Genomic DNA, 26,757 nt, shown 5'->3' on the forward strand with positions numbered 1-26,757 from the left:
TTCCCTTCACATCCAAACGACTATCTTGAGGAAGATAAATTATATTTGTCCTATGTGCATGTATTTTATTTCAAGTTAGTATTTTATTTTATTTCACGTATTTTATTTCAAATGCATGTATTTTATGTCAAGTTCTATGTGCATGTATTTTATTTCAAGTTTATTTTATTTCTATGTGCATGTATTTTATTTCAAAATTATCAAGAGATAATTTTGAAATAATTAGAGCTGTCTAAAACAGAAAAAAAACTTGATGGGCAAGGCAATCATGTGATTTCTATATTCCTTTGTAAGAATTTGCAATTTATCAGTTTGTAGACAAACATCCACCAATTTCAATAGATTTAAAAATATTTATCATTAGTATATTTAAGTGTTGTCTTTTGTCTTTGAAAGACATATGTAGGTAAAAAAATATTTTCGATGACATAAACCCACACATTGCCTCAAACCTCAACCTCCATTCACTAACAATTCATTGAAAGAAAGAATGAAAGAAAGAGAAATAAGTTGTGTATATTTGAAAGAGACAGAGAATTGAGGAGGAGGGAGGGGAAAAGAGAGGAAGGATGAGAGAGAGAAAGAGGAAGAAGGAGTAGGAAAAAAATAGGAAGTGGGAGAGGGAGGTGGGAGGGATAGGGACAATAAATGAATGACATTAAGGATCACCCTAATCAGACTATTGAAGAGAAAATATTATCTATTATATTCAAGCCTGATTTTACTGCAATATTTAGGCATGGTTCTTTAAGAGAAAAAAAAGATTTTATAAAAGATAGTTGACTAATTTAGTATAGGAGTGTTAAAATTATTTAATAAATTATTTCCCACTGAAAAAATATAGACTTCATAGGAAGATATGCTGCTTCTGCCTCAGGTTTATATTTAAAATGATTTATAGTTTACAATTTCTTCCTAAGGTCATCACCTTCATAAATACCAGCCACATACAGTGAAAACCAACTCAATAAAATGAGTATTTCATTTCTCTTCCTTCTGCTTATGTAGATACTTCTTCCATCTTACATGGCACCCATTTATAACAAAGCTTCACATTGTGTGGGTTTTTATGAGTTCTTGAGCTTTTCTTTCTTTTTTATCTTTCTATGCATCAGCAAAGCAACTGGCAGATTCTTTAATAAAATATACACATTAATATTTATAAGCCTATGAATTGGATGTTTAAATAAACATTCACCAACTTATGCCAATTCTCTTGTTTTAGATGTTAAATCACACTTACGTTGTCTGGAAAGTCAGCCTTTAGTTCAGTGACACTTTGACACCAATATGCAGCCGTTTTCTCACTGATGAGCTCAATATTCAGAAAGGAGCTTTGTCCAGGGCCATACATGGGGCCAGAGGTGGTTCCCCGGATGATTCTGGGGGAAACATTTGTCACAATGTCCTGATGAAAGAGTAAAGATATTGAGTCTCCTTTTGACAAAGAAAAGCTATAATCTTTATTATCTGCTCATTTCCATATGACAATATTTTATGAGGTCCCTTCTCACATTTTTGCAGAGGAATTTTTAATATACATTAAATTAGAATTGAACATAAACTACTTGCAAATAAAAAGGTAAAATAAAGTATTTGTTAGCTTTAGCTAAATTACTTCTTGTAATTCTAGGTTTAGAATAGCGCAAAAATAAAAATATTTATATTCATTAACACTCATTTAGGGCATACTCATTTTAATTTGTTTGCAATTAAATAATAAAAATATGATAGGTAAAATGCAAAAGTTTATCATTTCTGTCTATTTAATCTAGGTATCTCCAATCATAGTTTAACTCCAATAAGAATTAATGTTAGTAAAAAGTTTATATTTTTTTTTTCTGAAAAAAGTAACTCCGATGTAAATCAGTGAAGGAATAATATTAGTATTACTGGCTCATCAACCATTAACACACATTCTAATAAACTGGTTATGTGAAATTACTTATAGGATTATAACTATATATTCACTTTAAATGAGAAGAAAGTCACTTTCTCCAAGACTGAAATGAGTATATCAATAACTTCCTGATACCTATAAACAGTAAACAGTAAAATTAACTTGCTTGTTAAGTGTAATTAACAATCCACAACTGCTTCTAAAGCTGTATTAACGAAGAAGAATAACATTCTTCCATTACTTAAAACTAAAAAGAAACAAAGAAGGAAAATGTTTCTTTTGCCAACTTCCAATTAAAATTAATTTTGAGGAAAGGTCATTTAGTTAAGGATTTATCAGAATTAGTCATTTAAGTACCCCTCCTCACCATCTTGTCACTTTTAGTAAGATAACATGAACCCCCATTAGTATATAGCAATTAAGGTCAATTTACATATTTTAATTAAGAACCACCCCATATAAAACAATTAGCGTAATAGGCATACTAACTGGATTTCATAACATTTGGACGTTTTTCCAACTAGATAGACAGGAAACCTTAATTAGCATTAATTAGTGCTGATCTGCATATGTTTGATAAGGCATACCCTTGCCACAAAAGATTATTTATTCCTGAATCTGCCAAATGCTACAGTTGCAGAGGATAAAAGGACTTTTCTTCACATTGCATGTTAATTTCTGGTAATTTACATTCACTTTTACATGCGAATTAGTATATTATAAAATAAATGGTATAAATGTTACAATAAGCCTCCTTAAATATGTACATTTTAACTTATAGGAATCATGCCAGTTAATTTTTTACTAATTAAGCCATTCCATTTCTATTGTAATTGTGTGCAACATCACCAGCCTTGCTTTGATTTGCTATTGTGAAACCATGTTTCACAATCCTAATGGGTAAAATGACAAATAGAGTTACTCCACGAAGCTCAAGCCTTGTGGGTCAATTTCCATCTTGGCAAACGCTTAAATGTATGTTCTACGTCCCTACAGGTGGCTCTGTGAAGCTCATCCAGTGGGTACTCCGGTGTTTTCATGGTCTGAGAAGGCAATTCTTGAAATATTTCACTCAGATGAGGCTGGTTTTCTTCTGTGTTCCAATTTTCAAGAGCCATACCCTTTAAACCTTGAGATCCTCCTTTCCTCTGCTTTACTCCCTACTCTAAATGCTCTTCACCTAAGTAAGTCCAACCTAGGCCACAAGTTGTTCTCTACACAGGATTTCTTAGCCAAGGAGGAGTGAAGTCTGTATTTAGTTCACCAAGTCAAGTGCCCTGGTACTGTGTTGGTGAGCAAATAATGGGGCATCTGGTTTTGATGACCATTTTTTAATTCATTGGTCTGGAAACAGGTGCTTCCTGCTTATTCAACAAAACTGATTCACGTTAGCAGCATCCCTACTCCCGCCCATTCTCCATATCTTCACTTAGACTTCAGTTCCTTTGAGAAGTTTTTCTTTTCTCTCCAACTCCATTGAGTCTTAGTAACATGCTCTGACTCATGCCACCATAACAATATATACCTTCCTCAATTGGCATTCTTACTACCATTTATTGTGGTTGTCTATATTCCTGACTGTACCTTCCACTACAGCATAAGACTTGTAAAGAAAGAAACTATATTTTGTTTACTATTACATGCCCAGCTTCCAGCCTGGCCTTTAGTGGTGCTAAAATAAAGTACTGTATCTTCAATGAGTCTAGACTAAAACCATAGGCACTAGAATAAGTCTTGTCCTGAGGTATGAGAACCAAAGACATTTATTGCTGGCTGCATTCTGCTGCTGAACAGACCAGTGGTTTGGGCTTTGATATAGTTTGGATGTATACCCCACCCAAATCTCATGTTGAAATGTAATCCTCTGTGTTGGAGGTGGGGCCTGGTGGAAATGATTGATTGCATCATGGGGGAGAATTTCTCATAAATGGTTTAGTATCATCCTCTTGGTACTGTCCTCATGATAATGAGTGAGTTCTTGTAAGATGTGGCCCTTTAAAAGTGTGTAGCATCTCTCCCCTCTTTCTCTTGCTCCTGATTTGTCATATGATGTGACTGCTCCCCCTTCCCCTTCTGCCTTGATTGGAAGCTTTCTGAGGCCTCCACATTAGCAGATGCTGCTATGCTTCCTATAGAGCCTGCAGAACCATAAGCCAATTAAACTTATTTTTCTTCATAAATTTCCCAGGCTCAGGTATGTCTTTATAGCAAAAACGGGCCTTTATTCAAAGTTCAGGATTTATTACTATGCTTAGATCTTTTCCTGCTAGTCCATTTGTCTAGAATTGGGTTCTTGCTTGCTTCTTCTGATCCTTCAGGGACCCCTTTTTCTAGAACTCAGTACACCCCCTCCCTTGGATAGATCCCTGAACCAAATGCTGTGATACAAAGCACCCACTGCTATAGGCCTTCTCACGCAGCCTACTGTGATGACTCCCTGACAGAAAGCATGCTTGAACTTCATCTCACTGCAGCTTCTAAGACCTTCCTGGTTGCTAGTTCTTAACTGCTGGGTATCGCTGATCTCTAGGATTTAAATAGAATGCCCCCATTCAGATACAATACAACTACCAGTCTTTTTTGGTTCATGTGGATGTGTATTCTTAACCTGATCCATGACCACCTAGGGTATTTCCTAGCTAATGAGCCTGTCCAACTACAGTTGTCTTTTATGTTTGTCCTGTATGCTAAGAACACATCTTAACAGTATACATAGGAATTTTTAAAATATCATAGAATATAAAAGACACAGAATGGAAATTTCACCTATAACTAATAAGGAAAAAAATCTTCATGGTTCAGGAATTCTAAGCTATATGCTATATGCTATTTACAGTAACCTACTAATAACCACAAAGCCAACATCTCACATTAGCCAAAAGGATCAATAAGCTGACAATATTTAATTGGAAGACTGTCAAGAAAATGCTTCTTTCTTAAGCATTTCCCTCATCAGTAATACCTCAAAGCCTACAATTCTACCTTTAAGAATTTTTTCTTTGTGTATTATGAGTTAAGTTTCTTGTTAATGTTGGAGCTGGTTTATTTTTCTCTTCTACGATGTGGTGTTAAACTGTAAATATAGCATAGGAAAGTTATGAATGATCTCCTTAATCAAGATAATGAACAGGAAGTACAAACCAAATCAAAGGAAAATTTATTTGCTTTATGATAGAGAATGCTTATTCCTTTGTGTTGATTTATAATAGAGAATGTTTATTTAAACAGGTCAATTTTCTCATTCCTTAATTCAACCAAAGATAAAAGGTCCTTTATAACTTCTCAAATTACAGATGCCTACTGTTGTAGAATGGGTTAACTATCTGAAAGGAATTTGTTAGCATCATAGAAATTCAACATTTTCCAAATTCAACTAAAGTGCAAAATTCCAATGTATTCATCCAGTAATAAATCGGTAATAAAAATTTTATTCTAGATTTTCTTTCCCAAATTGTCATGTTTGCTATTGTTTTGCCAAAAACATTCTCCACTGAATTGAGACTTTTAGAATTTTTAAATTAAGTGAAAGATGAATGAAAACACATATATAACCAATTATCTTTGGTTATATAACTAGAGTTAGAGTTTAAATAATTGGACAATAACTTACTAAAGCTTTTGACCTGGGAAGACTAGAATTTGAGCATGATTTCATAAGAGAATATTTTGCTTTAATATTTAATGGCTAAGTCTTATTAGCATTGCTTAAAGGAGTTAATATAACAAAATAAACATATTCAAGAATAGTTAGAGTAGAGAAGAGTTCATTCTCTATAATAAAAAAGACAAACTGCCATAGCTCTCATCTTCAGTGCATTAACGATATTCAGATATTTTAAAAACAGATGTTTATAGAAAAGGAAGTGTTAGGTAATATCTTTGCTTTATGTAATATTATAACTACCATTATAACATCAAGTATTAGTGACCTTTTAACATTTGAAGTGATGATAATGATTTTTTCTCTATCAGAAAAGAGATTTAAATGGTAAGCGGACTGATTATATTTGTTTAGGTTCATTTACTTGACCTCTCTTATTATAAAAACTTATGATGTTTCTATGGTTACTACTGAATTAAAACAGTCACAATGGCCACAATGAACACAAAAAGAAAACTTTGCAGAAATGTCTGAGTAAGAGGCTAGAAAAAGAATGGGGTCAAACAAAGTTGGATGAAAACAAGAAATAAAATTTGCAAAGTGAATCATGGCTACATATACCATAGTGGATGAATTTTATAAACATCTTGTTGAATGAAAAGGGCAAGTTCTAGAAAAATATATAGAATATGACACACAACACAAAGCAATATATTATTTAGTGAAACATACTGACAGGATAAAACTATAAATATAAGTAAGGTAACAACTAAAAATAATTCAAGATAGAAGTTACCTCTTGGAGTAGGTAGATGCTGGAGGAGAAATTGGAAATGGTAGAGCAAGGAGGGCTTTCTGAAAGTACTAGTGATATATAATTATAAAGAAGCTTTACTCTTGAACTGCAGAAATGTGGCAGAATGAGAAATCTGTTCAATGAGTTATGCAGTAGTATAGTGTATATCGCTATGAGTTGTTGATAAGGTTTTATCAGTTTACTTGAAAACCTGTAACTGAAATCGAAGAAACATTTGTTTTGTTTTCTTAACTTCCAAGATTCTGCTGTAAATATTTTGTCAAAAATGTTTTAATTATTTGGTTTTACAAACTAGGAGTTCAAAAATTAAATGTACTTCATGACCAACTGTTTCCTAAAATATATCACTTTCCTAATAAAATCCTACTGAGATAAGTACAACATAACCATACATTATTTCACAAAAGAGGAAAATCACTCTACAAACAAGTCTAACAACAAATATCTTGTTACAGAGTCAGATTCCATCATTATAAATCTAACATACTGATACCCTGTGAATAGCTAAAAGTGAAATAAAATTCAAGAGTGGCCCAGTTTCTAGAACAATTGCGCTACTATGAAAGAACTCACTAACATTTTATTTTCTTCATGAACTAAGTATATTAATATTTGATTCCTCCACAAAATAAACTTTATAATGGTCAGAATACTCTCTACTTGGTTTTCTTGGAGGTGCAAAGTGGGCAAGATAAGTATTTGTTCCCAATAAATCATATTTTTCTCTTGTAGTAGCTTATATAACGACAGTACTCAATATCTGAATTAGTGACAGAATTTGCCCTTTTGTCATCAGGAACTTCAGACCTATCTACATGGAAAACACAATAAGCAAAAATAGCACTATTATCCTAGAAATAAAAGATAAATTATCAGAGAAGTTGTAGCACTGACATTGTAGAAATAATAATATTTTAGATATGTATAGCACAAATCTGTCACATATATCAGTCTTTTCAAATTATCATGACCTATATCCATGGTTGCATATCTAGTAAGCATTCGAGATGAGACTAGAACTCAGGTGTGCTTATGTGATATGGATAATAATAATGTTGTTAGTGACCTCTTAACATTTAATATATGTAATAATAATTAGAACTCATTTCAGTTGCAAGAAAAACAAATCAACTTGAATAAGTTAAATTTTTAAAAAATGGGGTGTTGTCTATTTATTTTAAGGAAAAGGAGTATTTCACATAACACACACAAATATGCAACTATACCTCAGCTAGGAATCATTCTGTGTCTCCTCTCTGCTTCTGTTGGCTTATCTCTTCATTTTTCTTTCTGTCTCTCCACAGAGGGCTTTCTCTGTCTCAGTTCATATGATAGAATATAGCTCTCTGACAAGTCCCAAGTCTACAAGTTGTAGGGAAAGACACTCCTCCAAACTTGTAATCTCTTAGGCCAGATTTTAACCCCTGGTGACAGAGGCCCTAACGGGCTTAAGCTGCATTAGTTAGTCATCCCTTGTTTAATGAACTATGTCTGGCAGGATAAAATTAATTAGGATTCACACAGATGCTCAGGTAAACAATGATGGCGTAATTGAGAGCTGGGCAACTAGTATTATAGGAATCTGTGACACCAGGACCAGTAGATTTAAATTCACCTTAGAAACTTTAGAAGAAAATATACAGGCATGATAAAGGATAATTATCTAGGAAAATGGGGTAAGACAGGCAAAATAATTATCATTTAGTGAAATAAAAACTCTCCATAGTCTTGAATCAAACATGATGGTCCATTTCCTATTCCTGTGGCCCAAAACCTTGCAAGATCAAAATTCTAAGAATGCTTTGACATTCTCCAGTGTTTTAGACTACACTGGGACTCTCTCATTATCATGTGTTAGTGTGTTGAAGACTGTCAACACAACATGGCACGGTGTGTACTTAATCTCAGTCTTGGCCTAGGCTGAACTGATGGAATGGATAGATACTCTACGTAAGCAGGGAAGACAGTGGAAGAAGTAGGTAAGGAAGAACAAAGAAGAGCACATTGTTCTAAAATGAATAAGAAAAAATGTACGACCTGATTAGGCTTAAAAGACGGGAATAATAAATGAAAACTGACCAGACTGAATGTCTGCTATATGCCAAGGAAGGAGTTTTACTCACATATTCTCCAGTGCTCACCCAACACCAAATGTTCCTCACCTCTTGGATAGTGTGTCACATATATAAAGCATGTGGTGTCTTATACCACAGAAATATGGAGATTAATTTTCTGAATTTTATTTATGTCTGACTGATAAAAATACTGGCTCACATAATCATGTAGCCTTTTGTTTTTCCTCTTGCCCTTTTTCAAAGAGCTTATGATTTTGTAAACTAGACACTAAAAGTGGTTTGTTTTGTTTTTTGACCTTCTCATCTGCCGATCCGGATAACCATCACTCTGTCACAGAGAAGTTGTAGGATAGTAAATGAAGCAATACAGCACATGACTGGCATGTGGTATTTGATAAATAAATGTTTATTCATTCACCAACTCACTAGGCTTCAGAAACAGTCAAAACAAAAGTTGTGGGAGTTCAGGTGACTGGCTTTAACTAGTTCACGGCTAAAGCTGGGAAATAAACCGGAAATGAGGATGGGAGGATTAAATAGAGTTGGGTCAGATTGCAGAGTCCTGAATGACTGTTTTAAGGAGTTCAAACTTTTTCTGCAGGCTTTGAGAATCCATTGTGTTCTGTCTCCTATTCAAGTTATTAATACCAATAGCTCACAGCAGCTGTGCATTCACGGAGATAAGTTTTACAAGAAACAGATGAAGGGCTTTTTTAGTGCTGATATCAGATGGATTAGAACGTGATTAATCAACAGACAGACTGATTAAATTATTGGGTTCACTGTTCAGATAAGAGGTTTTGGATACACTCTGCCAAACGGTAATTAACTTAGAAATTTCTGCTGGCCTGCTTATAAGATGATCATGTGATATGCTTTGAAGAAATCTTTTAAGGCCCAGAATAGCAGCTGTGAAGGTGTAAGCATGAGTCAGTTTTAACAATTATTAATTATCTTCAAGTATTAGAGCAGAATTTTCATTGGAAGTGATAAATATTTTTTAAAATCTTTACTTTTAAGAAAACTTGTGTAAATCTCTGGCTCTACTCTACAGTCGACTGCAAATGAAATGACTACTATTTAAAGGAGTATCTAAAAGAGTCAAGAGAGGAGTTTTCCATTTCTACAACATGGTTAACAAGATATTGAAAGGAATCCCTTGCAATATAACACATATAAACCTACTGGACAGGATATGATTTTTTCTAAAAGATGCATAGCTGTACTGGTATCAAAATAAGGAAATTTCTGAGAGATCAGAAATAAGCACGAAGCAGAGATTCACAAGGGCAAACTAACTATTGGGTGGTGTTTACCCTCAAGGTTTTCGCCCATCCCTGGTGGCCTATAAACTGAGTTACAAACATCTGAGACAGCAGACAAAGTCTGGGACTGAGCACGTTGTTAGGTAGAGTAGAAATCGCCACATAAATATAGGACCAAGAAAGAGTGATGCTCTCACTAGAAAATAACTAGAGAGCAATGGCGGGTCATGCGTCAGTTTCAGCTTTAGCAATCAAGGAGGTAAGTCTCTTCTAAGAATCTTAACCTGTGTGAGCCCCAAAATTTAAACTGCGAGGTTAAAAATTTGGTTTAAAAGTGGTTCCTAGTCATGGTGTCCTTAGATAACTAGTAAAAGCAATCTCAGACCCTCTCTGAAAGAATTTACTTTACCTCAAATATTTATAAATTCCCATAAATACATTTTCAAGGAATGTGAGCCCACAAGAGAAGAAAATCACTAATGACATGAGAAAAAAGATATCATAGGTGGGAGCCAGTGCAAAGAAAAAGCTACAAAATCAGATCTACCAAAAAATGTATATAATGGGATTATCAGATGTAAAATATAAAAAAATTAATATGCTTAAAAATACGAGAGACTTGAATGTATAAATAATGAGAAACTCAAAGTTTATCATGAAGATATAACATATGAGCAAATAGAATTTCTAGAAATAAAAAAAATAATATGGAAAATTAAAACCTAATGGTTTGGGGATGATATGATGATATATCTGGGCAAGTTACCTGAAAGCAAACAAATGTGATGCAAAACATGATCTAGAGGTTAAGAGACATGGAGAATAGCTTAACAAGGTAAAGGAAAAATCAAATTGCAGTTCACAAGAAGCAAATGGAGAGAACTAGGAGAGGCACCATTTCCAAAGATATTGTCAGGGGTTTAATAGAATTGATGAAGGACACCAATTCTTAGATTCCAGACAACAACAAACTGAGGAAAATACGTTTTTTAAAGAATTGATATCTAGATACATTGTAGTATACAAGAAAGGGAAGAATTAAAAAATAACCAGAGGAAAAAAAGACTACTCACAAAAATAAAAAGCAGATTGAGAGCTCACTTCTTGGCAGTACCAATGAAAGCCAGAAGAGATTAGAATATTTTATATGAATAAGAAATGTTAACTGAGAATTGCATACCTTGTAGACTTATAACTCAAGGATAAAGAAAAAATGAAGACATTTCCAACAAAAGGAATTGTGAGCAAATAGTATATGGTAGAGAAAATTAATGAACTAATGCTAATTCTGCAACTAGGATTGATGTGAAAAAACAAAATATTGAACAATAACAAGAAAAAAGCAAGCTGTGTAAAAATATAAAGGTGTGATTATGTTTATATGAGGCAAAAAAATAAACAAAACTAAATAGTACACTGTTTAGAAATACATTATGTGAAAAACATACGCAAAAGCAAGAAAATGATTATCATAAAATCTAAAATAGTCACCTTTCGAGGGAGGAGAAAGGAATATAATTGAGGAGGCACAAACAGAATCAAAGGTACAGGAATATCTTATGTTCTCTTCTTCTGTGAAATGAGAAAAAGGTATTCATTTTTACTATATCTTAAACTATATAATTTTTGTAGTATGCAATTTTTATAGTAAAAAATGAAAACAAACTTATTAAGCAGAAAAAAAGCAGGTGCAAATCTGAAGATAACAGTGTTTGATAACTCTAAGATTGTATGTTTTGCCTCAGTATTACTGCCTCTGTTGTCATATGGTTCTGAATGATGTTTTAGAAAGAATATTGATTCTAGTCATTCCACTAACAAAATGATGAGCTTGAGCTTGTATTACATGATCCTTTGGGATTACAGATCCCTTGGTGGATCCCTAATCTACCACTGATGAGGATTTCAGTCATTTATCTATACAACTACAAAACATACAACATGGGAACATTTCAGATTGGAGATACTGCTATCTGAAACCCTTGGCACAAATTTATGATTTAGAGGCATTGGGGCTCAAAAAAACGACACCCTGAAGTATGGTGCGTTGATATGCTGAGTACTTTGAACTAAAGGAATAGCCTCAGAACCAAGGTCTCTCTGGCCTTCTCCCAGCCCCCATCTCTTGTTCTTTCTTTCCTGAAGTGCAGGGAGAGGCCTTCTCAGAAGTTTCTTTTATCTGACTAAAGGAAATTCTTCCTGAAGAAATGTCATTGTCCTGAACTCCTTCCCTGGAATCTACATTAACCAGTCAAGATTAACTCCTTGCAAAAGAAGAGACACGGCCAGGCACGGTGGCTCATGCCTGTAATCCCAGCACTTTGGGAGACCAAGGTGGGCGGATCACCCGAGGTCGGGAGTTCAAGACCAGCCTGACCAACAGGGAGAAACCCTGTCTCTACTAAAGTACAAAATCAGCCAGGCATGGTGGCAGGCCCCTGTAATCCCAGCTACTCGGGAGGCTGAGGCAGGAGAATCACTTGAACCCGGGGGGTGGAGGTTGCAGTGAGCTAAGATCGCGCCATTGCACTCTAGCCTGGGCAACAAAAGTGAAACTCCATCTGAAAAAAAAAAAAAAAGAAAGAAGCGATCACACTTACACTTTTCACCTATTCTTAAGGCTACTACCTGGGACACTTTATCTGCATATAAGGCAACCTTTGTTTTCAGTTCAGTTCCTTCTTTCACCCTTCTATTGCTTGTGCTGCCACCTCCCCTCAGAAGCCCCAATCCCCTACTTCATTCTGTAGCTCAAAATATTATTTATGCTTCCACAATTTGGCACTCCTTAGAGTCTCATATTTTGTGGGACTTCCGTATATATGAAGTTGATAAATTTGTATGCCCTTTCTCCTGTTAAATCTGTCTACTTTCAACTTTATTCTAGAGATTCCAATCATAAAAACTTTGGAAAACAGAGGGAAAGCATAAAACTTCCCTATAGAGGTAATTTCAAACTCATATTAAAGTCATTTCGGGCAACACACACCTCTGTTTTGGCTACCTTAGGGAACCTTCCTCACCAATATCCTACTGACTAAAATGGAAAGAAAAAAATGAGGAGGATAAAAAGTTTGTTTCTGCCAAGAATCTATGAAACTATTCAGCTAATGAAAAATCATTTATTTGAGCATACATACAAAGTCAAACTACCCTAAATATAAGATAAGCAGCTATGCGATATAATAATTAAAATAATAAAATTTGAAGTCTGTTTTCTCATCATTCTACTCAATAGCATTCTTTCATATATTAGGCCATAAAGATGCTTGTATTATAATTACAAAACACCATTAAAAAATGTATTATGTCCTACAGCACTTAGCCTTAACAAACAATTACTGGATCTCACATTCAACTGAATACAAAAAGCAATCTTTATCACAAGGTTAAAATTAGCCTTGGAACAATAAATGCTTTCAAAGCTATTCTAAACTCCAAACTGCTTTGCACCAGTCTGTTTTGAGGAACTGAAAACAAGTAAACTGAAGGACATTTGAAAAACTTCCTGTCTGTGTCCTCTCAATTTTTTTTTTGTTTGTTTCATAGGAGACAATCATGTTATACCTGAAAGGTGATCCATATGGCCCTCACAGGGTAAGGTTTCAGAAGTTAAAATCAAAACCAAACAAAAATAATTAACCAAGTAAACAAAGAAACCCTGAGAATTCTAGATTTCACAATGTGTTATTCATAATAGCACTCTAATTATCAGCACTACTTTTCAGCCATTACTACAGAAAAAAATGAATAAATTTGATTCACGGAGGAGGGACCTGAAAGCAAATGGATTTGTTAGTTAGTTCAAACCCAGAATTCTGAGATAATACACTTCTCAGTTCATCCTTCAGAAGACAATATGATATGTAGAATTTCATCATTTAAATTACTTAACAAATTAATCAGAGTAGCTTCTCCTTCTGTAAAAGGTGTTGTAAACTAAAAATAAAATTCTAAGCCCCCCAATCATATGAATAGGCCCCCTCCTCTCAGTCAAGGGCATTGCAAAGTTAACCTGAAAAACTAGTTCAGACCATGATGGGAAGGTGGGGCTGGACATGCCTCATTCTACCCTCCTCCTTTTGAAATTCAGGCATAACTGTAGGTATTAACATTAAAACAGAGATCTTAAGACTGATGAAACAAACTTTTTGTGCAATAAGACACCAAATTCCAGCCTCACTCTAGTACAGCATCACATAACAGGCTCTGAAAGGAATTGAAGTATTTTACCCTAAACTATATTTCTTTAACATATTTTGAAATGGTCCTGCAAAGTTGTCTCTTGTGGGGAAAATCTACTTTCTGTAGAGAATCCCCTTCCTTTTCCAGGTCTTTTCCCTGATCTAGGAGAGAATTAACTAAGAGTCTGGCATATTTTTAAGTCTGACAAGGAACATTTACAATCTATTCTCTCTGTAGCCTGCTACCTGGAGGCTTCATCTGCATAATAAGAATCTTGGTCTCCATAATCCCTTATCTTAACCCAGAAACTCCCTTCTATTGATTCCAAGTCTTCAGATAAACTCTTTCAACCAACTTCCAATTGGAAAATCTCTGAATCTATGACTTGGAACCCTCCCCTGCTTCAAGTTGTCCTGCCTTTCTGGACCAAACCAATGTATATCTTGCATGTAATGATTGATGTCTTATGTCTCCCTAAAATGTGTTGATATAATTTGGCTGTGTCTTCACCCAAATCTCATCTTGAATTCTCGAATGTTGAGGGAGGGACCCGGTGGGAGATAACAGAATCATGGGGCAAGTCTTTCCTGTGATGTTCTCATGATAGTGAATAAGTCTCAAGAGATCTGATGGTTTTATAAAGAGGAGTTTCCCTGCACTCTCTCTTTGCCTGCTGCCATCCATGTAAGATGTGACTTTGTCCTCCTTGCCTTCTGCCATGATTGTGAGGCCTCTCTAGCCATGTGAAACTGTAAGTACATTAAACCTCATTATTTTGTAAATTGCCCAGTCTTGGGTGTGTATTTATTAGCAGCATGTAATGGACTAATACAGTAAATTGGTACCAGTAGAGTGGGGTGCTGCTGAAAAGACACCTAAAAATGTGGAAGTGACTATGAAACTGGATAGCAGGCAGAGGCTGGAACAGTTTGGAGAGCTCAGAAAAAGGAAAATGTAGGAAAGTTTGGAACTCCCTAGTGACTTGTTGAATAGCTTTGACAAAAATGCTGATAATGATAAGGGCAATGAAATTCAGGCTGAGATGGTCTCAGATGGAGATGAGGAACTTGTTGGGAACTACAGGAAAGGTGACTTTTGTTGTTTTAGCAAAGAGACTGGCAGCATTTTGCCCCTGCCCTAGAGATCTGTGGAACTCTGAACTTGAGAGAGATGATTTAGGGTATCTGGCAGAAGAAAGTTCTAAGCAGCAAAGCATTCAAGAGGTGACTTGGGTGGTGTTAAAGGCACTCAGTTTTAAAAGAAAAACAGAGCATAAAAGCTTAGAAAATTTTCAACCTAGCTGGGCATGGTGGCTCATGCCTGTAACACCAGCACTTTGGGAGGCTGTGGTGGGCAGATCACTTGAGGTCAGGAGTTCAAGACCAGCCTGGTCAACATGGTGACACCCTGTCTCTACTAAAAATACAAAAAATAGCTGGATGTAGTGGTAGGTGCCTGTAATCACAGCTACTCAGGAGGCTGAGGCAGGAGAATCACTTGAACCTGGGAGGCGGAGGTTGCAGTGAGCTGAGATTGCACCACTGCACTCCAGCCTGGGCAACAGAGCAAGACTCTGTCTCAAAATAAAATAAAATAAAATAAAATAAAATAAAATAAAATAAAATAAAGAAAAGAAAATTTTCAACCTGGCAATGAGATAAAAAAGAAAATCCCGTTTTCTGAGGAGAAATTCAAGCTGACTGCAGAAATTTGCATAAGTAACGAGGAGCCAAATGCTAATCCCAAAGACAACTGAAAAAATGCCTCCAGGGCATGTCAGAGACCTATGTGGCAGCCTCTCCTATCACAGGCTCAGAGGTTTAGGAGGAAAAAATGGTTTCATGGGCCAGGTCCAGGGTCCCTCTGCTGTGTGCAGTCTAGGGACTTGGTGTCGTGTCCTGTGCCCCAGCAACCCCAGCCATGACTAAAATGGGCCAAGGAACAGCTCAGGCTGTTGCTTCAGAGCGTGGAAGCCTCAGGCCTTGGCAGCTTCCACATAATGTTGAGCCTGCAGGTGCACAGAAATCAAAAATCGAGGTTTGGGAAACTTTGCCTAGATTTCAGAGGATGTATGGAAATGCTTGGATGCCCAGGGCAGCAAAAGTTTGCTGCAGGGACGGGACCCTCATGGAGAACCTCTACTAGGGCAGTGCAGAAGGGAAATGTGACATCAGTGCCCTAGAGTCCCTACTAGGGCACTGCCTAGTGGAGCTGTGAGAAGAGGGCCACCATCCTCCAGACCCCAGAATGGTAGATCCTCCGACAGCTTGCACCATGCACCTGGAAAAGCTGCAGACACTCAACACCAGACCATGAACACAGCCAGGAGGAGGGCTATACCCTGCAAAGCCACAGGATGGAGCTGGTGAAGGCCATGAAAGCCCACCTCTTGCATCAGCATGACCTGGATGTCGGACATGCAGTCAAAGGAGATCATTTTGGAACTTTTTAAGATTTGACTGCCCTGCTGGATTTCAGACTTGCTTGGAGTCTGTAGTCCCTTTGTTTTGGTCAATTTCTTCCATTTGGAATGGCTGTATTTACCCAGTGTCTCTACCCTCATTTTATCTAGGAAGTAACTAACTTTCTTTTGATTTTACAGCCTCATAGGTGGAAGTAACTTGCCTTGTATTGGATGAGACTTTGGACTGTGGAAGTTTGAGTTAATGCTGAAATGAGTTAAGATTCTGGGGGACTGTTGGGAAGGTATGATTGGTTTTGAAATGTGAGGACATGAAATTTGGGAGGGGCAAGGGCTGGAATGATATGGTTTGGCTGTGTCTCCACCCAAATCTCATCTTGAATTCCCATGTGTTGTGGGAGGGACCCTGTGGGAGGTAAATGAATCACGGGGGTAAGTCTTTCCTGTGGTGTTCTCATGACAGTGAATAAATCTCATGAGATCTGATGGTTTTATAAAAGGAGTTTTTCTGCACAAGCTCTCTCTTTCTTTGCCTGCTGTCATCCACGTAAGTAAGACGTGACTTGCTCCTCCTTGCCTTCTGCTATGATTGTGAAGCCTCCCCAGATATATGGAATTGTAAGTCCATTAAACTTCTTTCTTTTGTAAATGGCCTAGTCCCGGGTATGTCTTTATTAGCAGCATAAAAATGGACTAATACATGTGTAAAACCAAGCTGTAGCTCGATTATCTTGGGCACAAGTCGTCAAGCCCTACTGAGGCTGTGTCATGGGCAGGCTCTTAACCTCACCAAAATAAACTTCTAAATTCATTGAGCTCAGGAGTTCAAGACCAGCCTGGACAATGTGGGGAAACCTTGTCTCTACAAAAATTAGCTGAGCATGGTGATACATGCCTGCAGTCCCAGCTACTTGGGCGGCTGAGGTGGCAGGATGGCTTGAGCCTGGGAGGAAGAGGCCGCAGTAAGCTATGATTGCACCACTGCACTCCAGCCTGGATGACATGGAGAGACCCTGTTTTTAAATAAATACATAAATTGATTGAGACATGTCTCACATACACTCTGGTTTACAGTGTAATCAAAATTATAACAAAAAAAGTTGGCAAATAGAAAATCTGGATATATACGCAAAATATTCTTATTTGTTGACCTAAAAATAAATTGATTCCTGCAGAAGGTTCTACAATCAAAATCTTCCTATCACTTTGGTTAAAATACTGATTGAGACCCTATCACTAGCTTGCTGAAGTAGCTTTGCAAATCATTAGATGGTTATAAGGAACATCATCATGGTGGCAGTTTTCTTTTCGGCTGTAATCACAGTCTGACTTCACGTGTATATTCAAAATTAATTAAGTAGCAACAGTAACAACGACAACAAATACATTTTAAGTAACAATCGAGTCAGTCACTTAGATGCCTGTCTCGGTGTCAAGATTGATAAAAGCATCTCCAAATGATAGCTGATATTTTTATAGTGCTCTATAATTATCATTTGTGCTTTTAAACATGCAATAAAATTTAACATTCTGAAACATCCTATGAAATGAGAGAACCTTTTTCAAAAATGTTCTTTGAAATATTTGGGGCTAAATGGGAAGTTATGTGACCACGCTATTTTGGGGAAACACCAAAGAGACCTCCTTCTGGTGATTCACAAGGCATCTAAGCATATTAAAGGCCACCAGGCATCCAGTACTAAACCTACCTGCCTAATTTTCTATAATCCATTATCTTTCAAACCTTTTGGATTCTAAAAGTTTTTCATATATTACCCATAAATATACCAAAGAACTCTAACATTTTACAGAAAACAGGTTATTGAGATAGAGAAAGAACCCCCTTTAGGGGCCTGCAGTGGGGGGTGGAGGGTGGGAGCCCAAGCATGGAAATAAAGGAAAAACTTGAGATCCTACAAGAAAAATTCCAGGCACCTAGCTAGCCTTGAGAAGTAAATAAGCAAATTGATAAGCAAGAAGGTAACAGTAGCTTAAAACAATAGCCAAGGAAGCTATAATCACAGGATGTTTCGTTCTCTCATAGAAACTAACGATAAAATATGTCTCTAAGTTGTTTTTCGGAAATCTGTACCTCCACCGAATGGATCTGCCTGCAAGCAGGCCTCAGATAAGGGAGAACTAAGGGCTGAACTTTGACCAAAGTTCTTTGTTCTGCATTTCTTTCTGAGGTACCTAGAGAAAGTCAAACCCAAGAGCCAGAGCTAACATTCTTTTTGCTCACCACAAATTTCAAAACAAAGCTTCTCTTCCTTAACTGATTGCAAATCAGAAAACATCTGAATCTACCTATGAACTGTAAGCCCCCTGCTTCATGATATCCTGCCCTTTTAGGCCAAAACCAATGTGAAACCTCCATGTATTGATTTACAATTTTGCCTGTAACTTCTGCTTTCCTGAAATTTACCCCTGCTTTAAAAAATCCTCATCTGTAAGCCATCAGGGAGGTCAGGATTTAAATGTGAGTTGCCTGATCTTCTTTGCTTGGTGCCCTGCAATAAATGCTTCACTCTCTCTCGCTGCTATCAGGTTGTCAGTGTTTGTCCTTGCTGAGCCAGGTGAGCAGGCTTCTGATGTATTTACGTAGGTCAATGGTCTCTAAAATTATTTGATCATGTACTCCATCAACAAAGCAAACTTTTGACCTGCATCTCCAATAGAACATTTAGAAAAATAGAAATCAGAATAAAAGAGACAAATAATATAAATATTTTCAAACTTTCTTGCCATATCCCAATGCTTTAGGGATATCTGAACCCACAATGGGCACTGAACAAGATTTTTCTGGAGTGCAAAAGAAGGGAACAGATCTAGAAAAGAAGCTATTTAGTTTGGTGCAACCTCATAAAAATCTGCCCTGACAAGAGAAGACTGTCCAGAGCAGGGGTTGACAAACTCCTATGGTAAAGAGTCAGATGATAAATATTTTAGAGTTTACAGGCACTATAATCTCTGTCACAACTATTCAGCTCTGCTATTGTCACAGGAAGGTAGTCATAGACAACATTACTGAGTGAGTGTGTCTATGTTCCAATAAAAAATTATTTATGGACACTAAAATTTGACTTCCATATGTATATATGTATTAATCAGTTGTTGCTTTCTTACTGCTACTTACATTAATTTCATACTATTTTCAAATGTAACAAATCTTCTAATTTATTTCCAGCCATTTATACTATGGTCTGAATGTTTTTGTCCCTTCAAAATTCATATTTTAAAATTTAATTATCAATGTGATAGTTTTAGAAGGTGGGCATTTTAGAGGTAATTAGGTCATGAGGGTGGGGTCCTCATGGATCAGATTAGTGCCCTTATAGAAGAGACCCCTAGAGAGACCCCTTGTCCTTTCCATCATGTGAGGACACAGGTAGAGGGCATCATCTATGTTAACAGAAAGTGTGCCTTCACCAGACACCAAATTTGCCAGTGCGTTAAACTTAGACTTCTCAACCTCCAGAACTGTGAGAAACAAATCTGTTGTTTAGAATCTAACCCATCTATGACATTTTGTTATAGCAGCCCAAATGGACTAAGGCAATTTACAAATGTAAAAATCATTCTTAACTCATAGGCAGTACAGAAACAGGTGGGAGGCTGGATTTGACCCACGGGGCTATCATTTGCAGACTCCTTGTCCTAAGAATGAAGGAGTAGATTAAAGAGGAAGACCAAAGATGACTACAGAGGGTGAGCTGAAACACCGTTTTGATTTTCCTGCTAAGTTTTAAGGATGAAGGATGAATGATTCAGTTTCTTAAGGTTAGGAGGGCATAAGTCTTGAATTTATTTATAATAAGTAGCAGTAAGAAATCAGCAGCTAGCCAATGCATAATAATGGATTCCAAAAAAATTAGTTTCCTTGAAAGAGTTCAAAACATTATTTAAAACATGATTGCACTTTTGACAAGTTTTTAGGAAACTCCAAAATTATCAGAGCTGGCTCTGTGATCCTAATGGCCCTCTGTAGATAGTCACCACTAATGTTTATCAGCAGGAATTATTTCTGCAAAAATGGTATGAAAGGAACAGCCATTTAATATATCCAGCTCATTAGGAACAAATATAGTCCTAATATCTGTAATGTTTGATAGCACTAGATATAATTATTTTCAAATTTAGGTGAGGGTTACACAAACATCATAGGTCTCCAGAAGCCTTTTATCTGATAAATCTAAGTGCAATAAAACCTCATGGCTCTGATAACCAAAGGCTAAAGAATGAGTGATTTATATACACTGCAGCCTTCCAGAATTCCAACTTGTTAGCTAAAATAGCTCTAAGGGAAGCTAAAATTGCAAAAAAAAAAAAAAAAAAAAAAAAAAAAAAAGACAAATAAATAAAATGCCAGTATTTCCTCAGAAACCTTTTTGGTTGTAGTTGATTTTTTAAAAAACAGTTCTAATATTACTGAATTTTCTGGTAGTGAAAATAGAACAATAGGTATAAGCATCACTGTTTCATATTAGCTATACAGAAGAGTATGTTGAAATTCATTCATTAGCATATTGATAAGTTTCTGCTTCTCTGATAAAATTAAACTATACTAAAGGTTCACAACTTAGAATGTAGATACTAACCATAACACCATATTATGATCTTATAATTGGGTTACGATGTCTTGGATCAATTTTGTAATGGAAGTAATTTCAAAGTAATCTTATTTTTTTAAATTGCTACAAATCTAATATACAGAGAAATGTGAAAGATTCCAGGTATCTGAACAACTGGAAGCAAAGTATCTGATTGTTTACTTAGATAACATGGAGGATACAGGCTAGAGAAAAATACTTAAATGATTGTGTATTCACATGGAAAAGTGTTCCTAATATATAAAAGCCCTCAGCCAGGTCATTTTCATCGTTCTTGCAAATAACAAATGGATAGCTAAATAGACTTGAATATAGACATAAGCAGATCATATTTGCTAAATGTGTTGATGTTATTGAGAGGAATTAGGAGGTGCTCCAATGGACTGAGGGACCAGATTAAGAGATACAGGTATATATTGATTCTCATAAACTTCATACATTCCCCCTGCATTTTTCGAATCATTTTTTTGATATGATGGGGCAGTATGGTGTATTGTTTAAAAGAGAATGAAGTCAAATTAGCTGTTTCACATACTGATTCTTTTATTTTACTATCTGTGCCACCCAGACAAGTAAACAGCCTCTTTCTATTTCACTTTCCTCATTAGTAAAATGAAGATAGTCAGAGATAACATCTCAAAAATTAATTGACACAGCCATTAAATAAGGTAAAATAAAAAAGTGTATTTAGTTTGGATAAGGTAAAATAAAGGATGTTTAAAGTGCTTAAAATAATGTGTGGCACAATACAAATGATTATTATGATTTCGTGGTCTTCCATGAATTAACATTTTTACCCTCTCTATGGAAGTAATATGTGCAATATAATACTGATGTATACTTTATCTTTGGTGAATGGATGCTGGGTGTTTCAGAGGTTGTATATAGCTGTAAGCAGTATAACTGCACGAGGATACTGGGAGAACTTTGATCTTTAGGAGGGCTTCCAAATGCTAACTTGCTGAAGCTGCCCATGTTAGTGATACAGTTAGACCTACAAAAGAATTATAAGATTTCTGAACTAGGGCCAGGCACAGTGGCTCATGCCTATAATCCCAACACTTTGGGAGGCCAAGACAGGCAGATCACCTGAGGTCAGGAGTTCGAGACCAGCTTGGCCAACATAGCGAAACCCCATCAAGTACAAAAATTAGCAGGGCGTGGTGGTGGGAACCTGTAATCCCAGCTACTCAGGGGGCTGAGGCAGGAGAATAGCTTGAACCCAGGAGGCGGAGATTGTAGTGAGCTGAGATCGCATCACTGCACTCCAGCCTGGGCAACAAGAGCAAGACTTCATCTCAAAAAAAAAAAGGTTTCTGAATTAGTTATCCACACTGCTTGATCTGGTAATGGGAAAGGATTTGAGCTGGAGATTGTGAGTGCAGAATGCAGAACAACAATGCAGAACAGGTCTAGGCCATACATCTTTTCTGAAAACGTAATGTAAGAACAGAGCCTTATATGCCTACTTCACTGATGCCATTATGTATAATGAGATCAAACAAGTTTCCCTCTAAGTTTCATATTTCATTGTCTTTAACTTCAATATGTTTTAAAGGGGTCAATAGGGAAATTATAAAAACAAAGATGGGGGTCCCAGGACAGGGAATAAAAAAAACCCGAAAAACAAAAACAAAGAGTCCGGGAAGGAGACCAAATATCTTGGATACAGAATCAAGATCCAAAAAGATGTTGTGATGGACCAGAGCAATGGACTTACTTTAACAAATTAACATGTAACTTGGGGTCTAAAACTGCAACCACACAACTACAAGATAGAGACAGTAGAGTTTATCAGCTGAAAACATTAATAAAACACCATGGAGCTTATATTTCAATATAGTCAAGACAGAAATGAGTATTTTCACAGTAAATTAGTATGGGATGTGATCGTCCCACTTTCCTTTTTTTTTTTTTTGAGACAGTTTTGCTCTGTCGCCCAGGCTGGAGAGCAGTGGCACAATCTTGGCTCACTGTAACCTCAGCCTGCCGGGTCCAAGCGATTCTCCTGCCACAGCCTCCCGAGGTAGCTGGGATTACAGGCGCCCACCACCATGCCCAGCTAATTTTTGTATTTTTAGTAGGGACTGGGTTTCACCATGTTGGCCACCCTGGTCTCAAACTCCTGGGCTCAGGTGATCTGCACATCTCGGCCTCCCAAAGTGCTGGGATTACAGGCGTGAGCCACCACGCCCATCCCGTCCCCCTCTTTTTCAGAGATGTTTGAAGTAGTGCCTTCAGTTTTTGGCAAACTAGAAAACTTTAAGTGGAAAATGTAAAAAAAGAGACAGGTTTAGAGACTTAAAGACAGGTCATATGAGAAACAGTTAAAAGAAACAAGCATATTTAGCTTGGATAAGGAAAAGAGTCATACAAAAAATCTATTTTTACTTATCTGAAGAACAGTCATAGAGAGGGAGTTTAAATTTTTCTGAATCACCTTAAGATGGGATAATGTGCACAATAATTAGAAACTACTCGAAAGCATTTCAATTGTACTTTCAAACATCCAAAGCTATTTAAAGAGGCAATTGCCAGTCTCTGAAGAGTTCCTCTTAACTAAAGGGTTTGAGGATAGTGTAGTAGACACCTACTGGATTAACTACCCAGCACTCCTTTTCTGAGAATTGCCTGTTCTCTCCTTCACCCACCTGGTTGCAGCCTCTGTCACACCTTCATCTCCCCTATGCACATCACTTTTGATAGGTTCAGAGGCAACAACCTGAGAAAGAGTCCATACATGGTTCCAATTTTTAGTACACTTTCTTCCTTAGGCAAGTTGCTTTACTGTTATTTGGATGTGAGGGACACCTCCGTATATTTTTCACTTGGATTTCAGTTGTGCAACCAAAACAAAACTTATATACATATTAGCCAGGGCACTAATTGACAGCAAATTGGGGAATACAGTAAGCAGATGATGGCCAGTAAGCCTGTAAGTTCACTTCCAACTGATACTTTGTATTTGTGTGACTACTCACTTTTAGTAAACATCTATCTTTAAGGACAAGCTTTGGGAATTTGATTATAAAACCATAACCTTTTCTCAAATTATATTAACCTAAATAGCCATAATGAGAGAAAAATATAGGATAAAATGTTCCCCTAATTATTTACTGAATTTTTAATTGATTTTCCAGCTTTATTGAGGAATAACTGGCAAAACTTGTATATATTTAAGATATGCAATGTGATGACTTCATATATCAAACATTGTGAAATGATTACTATAATCAACCTAACTGACACAGCCATCACCTCACATAGTTGCCTTTGTTTTTTTGTGGTGAGAATATTTATGATCTACTCCTTTTACAAATTTCAAAAATACAATATATGCCATTATAGTCACCATCCTGTATATTAGATCCCCAGAACATATTCATCTTAAAATTGTAAGTGTGTACCCTTTAATCAACATCTTCCAATTTCCAACCTGCTTCCCAAAATCTCCTGGCAACTACCATCTTACTCTCTGCTTCTACAAGTTCAATTCTTTTAAATTCCACAAAGAAGTCAGATCATACAATACAGTAGTACTTGTCTTTCTATGTCTGGCTTATTTCACTTAGCATAATGTCTTCTAGGTTCATCCATGTTGCCCCAAATGTCAGGATTTCCTTCTTTTATGGCAGAATAATATTCCATGTGTAGGCATACATACCACATTTTCTTTTTTTATTCATTCATCAATGGACACTTAGGTTGTTTTTCTATATTGGCTATTGTGAATAATACTGCAGTCAACATGGGAGTGCAGGTATCTCTTTAAAAATGGTCAAATGACTCGAATAGAGATTCTTCCAAAGAAGATTCACAAAGAGCCAAAAAGTATATGAAGAGGTGCTCAATAGTTCCAATCACCAGGGGAATGCAATCAAAGTCACAATGAGCTATCACCCCACACCAATTTGGATGGCTAGTATCAAAAAGTCAAGGGACAACAAGTATTGGTGAAGGTGTGGAGAAAAGGGAATCCTCATACACTATTGGCAGTAATATAAACTGGTATAGCTATTATTGAAAACAGTATGTGCCAGGCACAGTGGCTCACACTTGTAATCCCAACAATTTGAGAGGCCAGGGTGGGCGGATTGCTTGAGCCCAGTAGTTTGAGACCAGCCTGGGCAACATGGCAAAACCCCATCTCTACAAAAAACATAGAAAAAAACTTAGCTGGGCATGGTGGAATATGCCTGTAGTCCCAGCTACTTGGGAGGCTGAGGTGGGAGGATCACTTGAGCCCAGGAAGTTGAGGCTTCAGCGAGCCATGATCATGCCACTCACTGCACTCCTGCCTGGGCAACAGAGTGAGAAACTGTCTTTAAAAAAAAAAAAAAAAGGAAAGAAAATGAAAAAGAAAACACAGTATAAAAGTTTCTCAAAAAATTAAAAATAGGTTACCGTATGATCCAGCAATTTTATTTCTGGGTGTATATCAAAAGAGAATGAAATCATTTACTGAATTTAAAAAAGAAGTTAAATACTTATGCAAGGTAATCAAAATGACACAAAGTCTACAATAAAATATTCTAACGATGAACAATGTTGTTTACCAGAAATGCAATTAATTTGTATTCTAAATGTAAATATAAATATTAACACAATGAAATGTAAATGCCAATATAGCCCATTATACATACTCTGAGTGTCTAACTAAACATATGAAAACATACCAAAGATATATTTACAATTAGATACAGATCAGGTGTTCTGTCAGACATATTTCACATTTAAAATTTCTGGGGAATGTCTTTAATAATGTTTAAATATTTAAAATCCTTTGAAAAGAGAGTTTAGGTATTAAATCAACTTAATACAGACTTACAGATTAATATTACTCCTAGTAATTATATATTAGATGTTCTGAATATACTTATTAATAATTCATTTAATAACAACTTAAGGTTCAGTTTTTCTGTCACAGTTTAAGATTAATAAAGAAACAAAAAATAAATGATAAACACAGAAGCTATGTGTTATTTCTATTTAAGAACAAACTTGTGGTGGCATATAATGTAGAAAATGCATGTAGATATTTAATTTTGGCATTTTGAATATTCTTCCCAATTTTATTTAATCTGAATGAGATATATGTTATAATTATAGCAAATGTTTGATCTAACTTTTATATAGAATTCTATAATTAATAAAATGCAATTCAGACATAAACTCCTATCATTGACTTTTGGAATTATGAAAAAATAATTCCAACTTTTATCTATAAAAATTATATCTTATATCTATGAAAGTTGCTAGAAAAGTTAAGAAAATGTAAAAAGAAGAACACAGGTCAATAATATATGAGAAAATGTAATAAAGGTTAATAATATGTATTAGCACACGTAATAAAAATCAGTAATTTAAACAGTATGGTTATGTTACAAGAAGAAACTGTAAGACCAATGGAGCAAAACAGCAGGGCAATGATTGCGGCATCATTTTTGTGGGCATTCATTCATGTTTGAATCTGATATATAGTTAGGCTATAATATTAAATTAATGGGGAAATATGAGTTATTCATCAATTGACATAGGATAATTGATAATTTAGTGAAAAACAAAGTTAAATCATGATGATTTGCTATATACCAAAATAAACTCTAGATATATTAAAAACATATAGATAAAACAGAAGAAGTAGAAGAAAACATATGTTAACACATGCCTCAACTTTAAATGTTGGAAAACTTTTAAGTATAAAAACAGTGACAATAAATGAATAAATAAATGACTTAATAAATAAGTAAAGGAACAAATTAATGAGTAAAAGAAAAATAGACTAAATAAAAATTCAAAATAGAGCTAGCATGGATTAATGTTCTTGATATATTGGGAGAAAAGGATTAACGGCTGAGTTGTGGCCTTTCCTCTAGCCCTGG

The 26,757-nt window shown here is 35.9% G+C and overlaps 1 protein-coding gene across 6 annotated transcripts in view; it reads right to left on the reverse strand.

The window, feature by feature from the left end:
• DPYD (dihydropyrimidine dehydrogenase) overlaps nucleotides 1–26,757 on the reverse strand; it is an 843,317-nt gene that overhangs the window by 371,073 nt on the left and 445,487 nt on the right. For all 6 annotated transcript variants that reach the window (XM_047448077.1, XM_017000507.2, XM_005270562.3 and 3 more), the window contains one exon: nucleotides 1,244–1,408. In XM_047448077.1, coding sequence (XP_047304033.1) covers nucleotides 1,244–1,408 — 165 coding nt within the window. The remainder of the gene's footprint in view (nucleotides 1–1,243; nucleotides 1,409–26,757) is intronic.

This window comes from Homo sapiens, chromosome 1 (assembly GCF_000001405.40).
Source record: "Homo sapiens chromosome 1, GRCh38.p14 Primary Assembly".
Taxonomy (NCBI): Eukaryota; Metazoa; Chordata; class Mammalia; order Primates; family Hominidae; genus Homo; species Homo sapiens.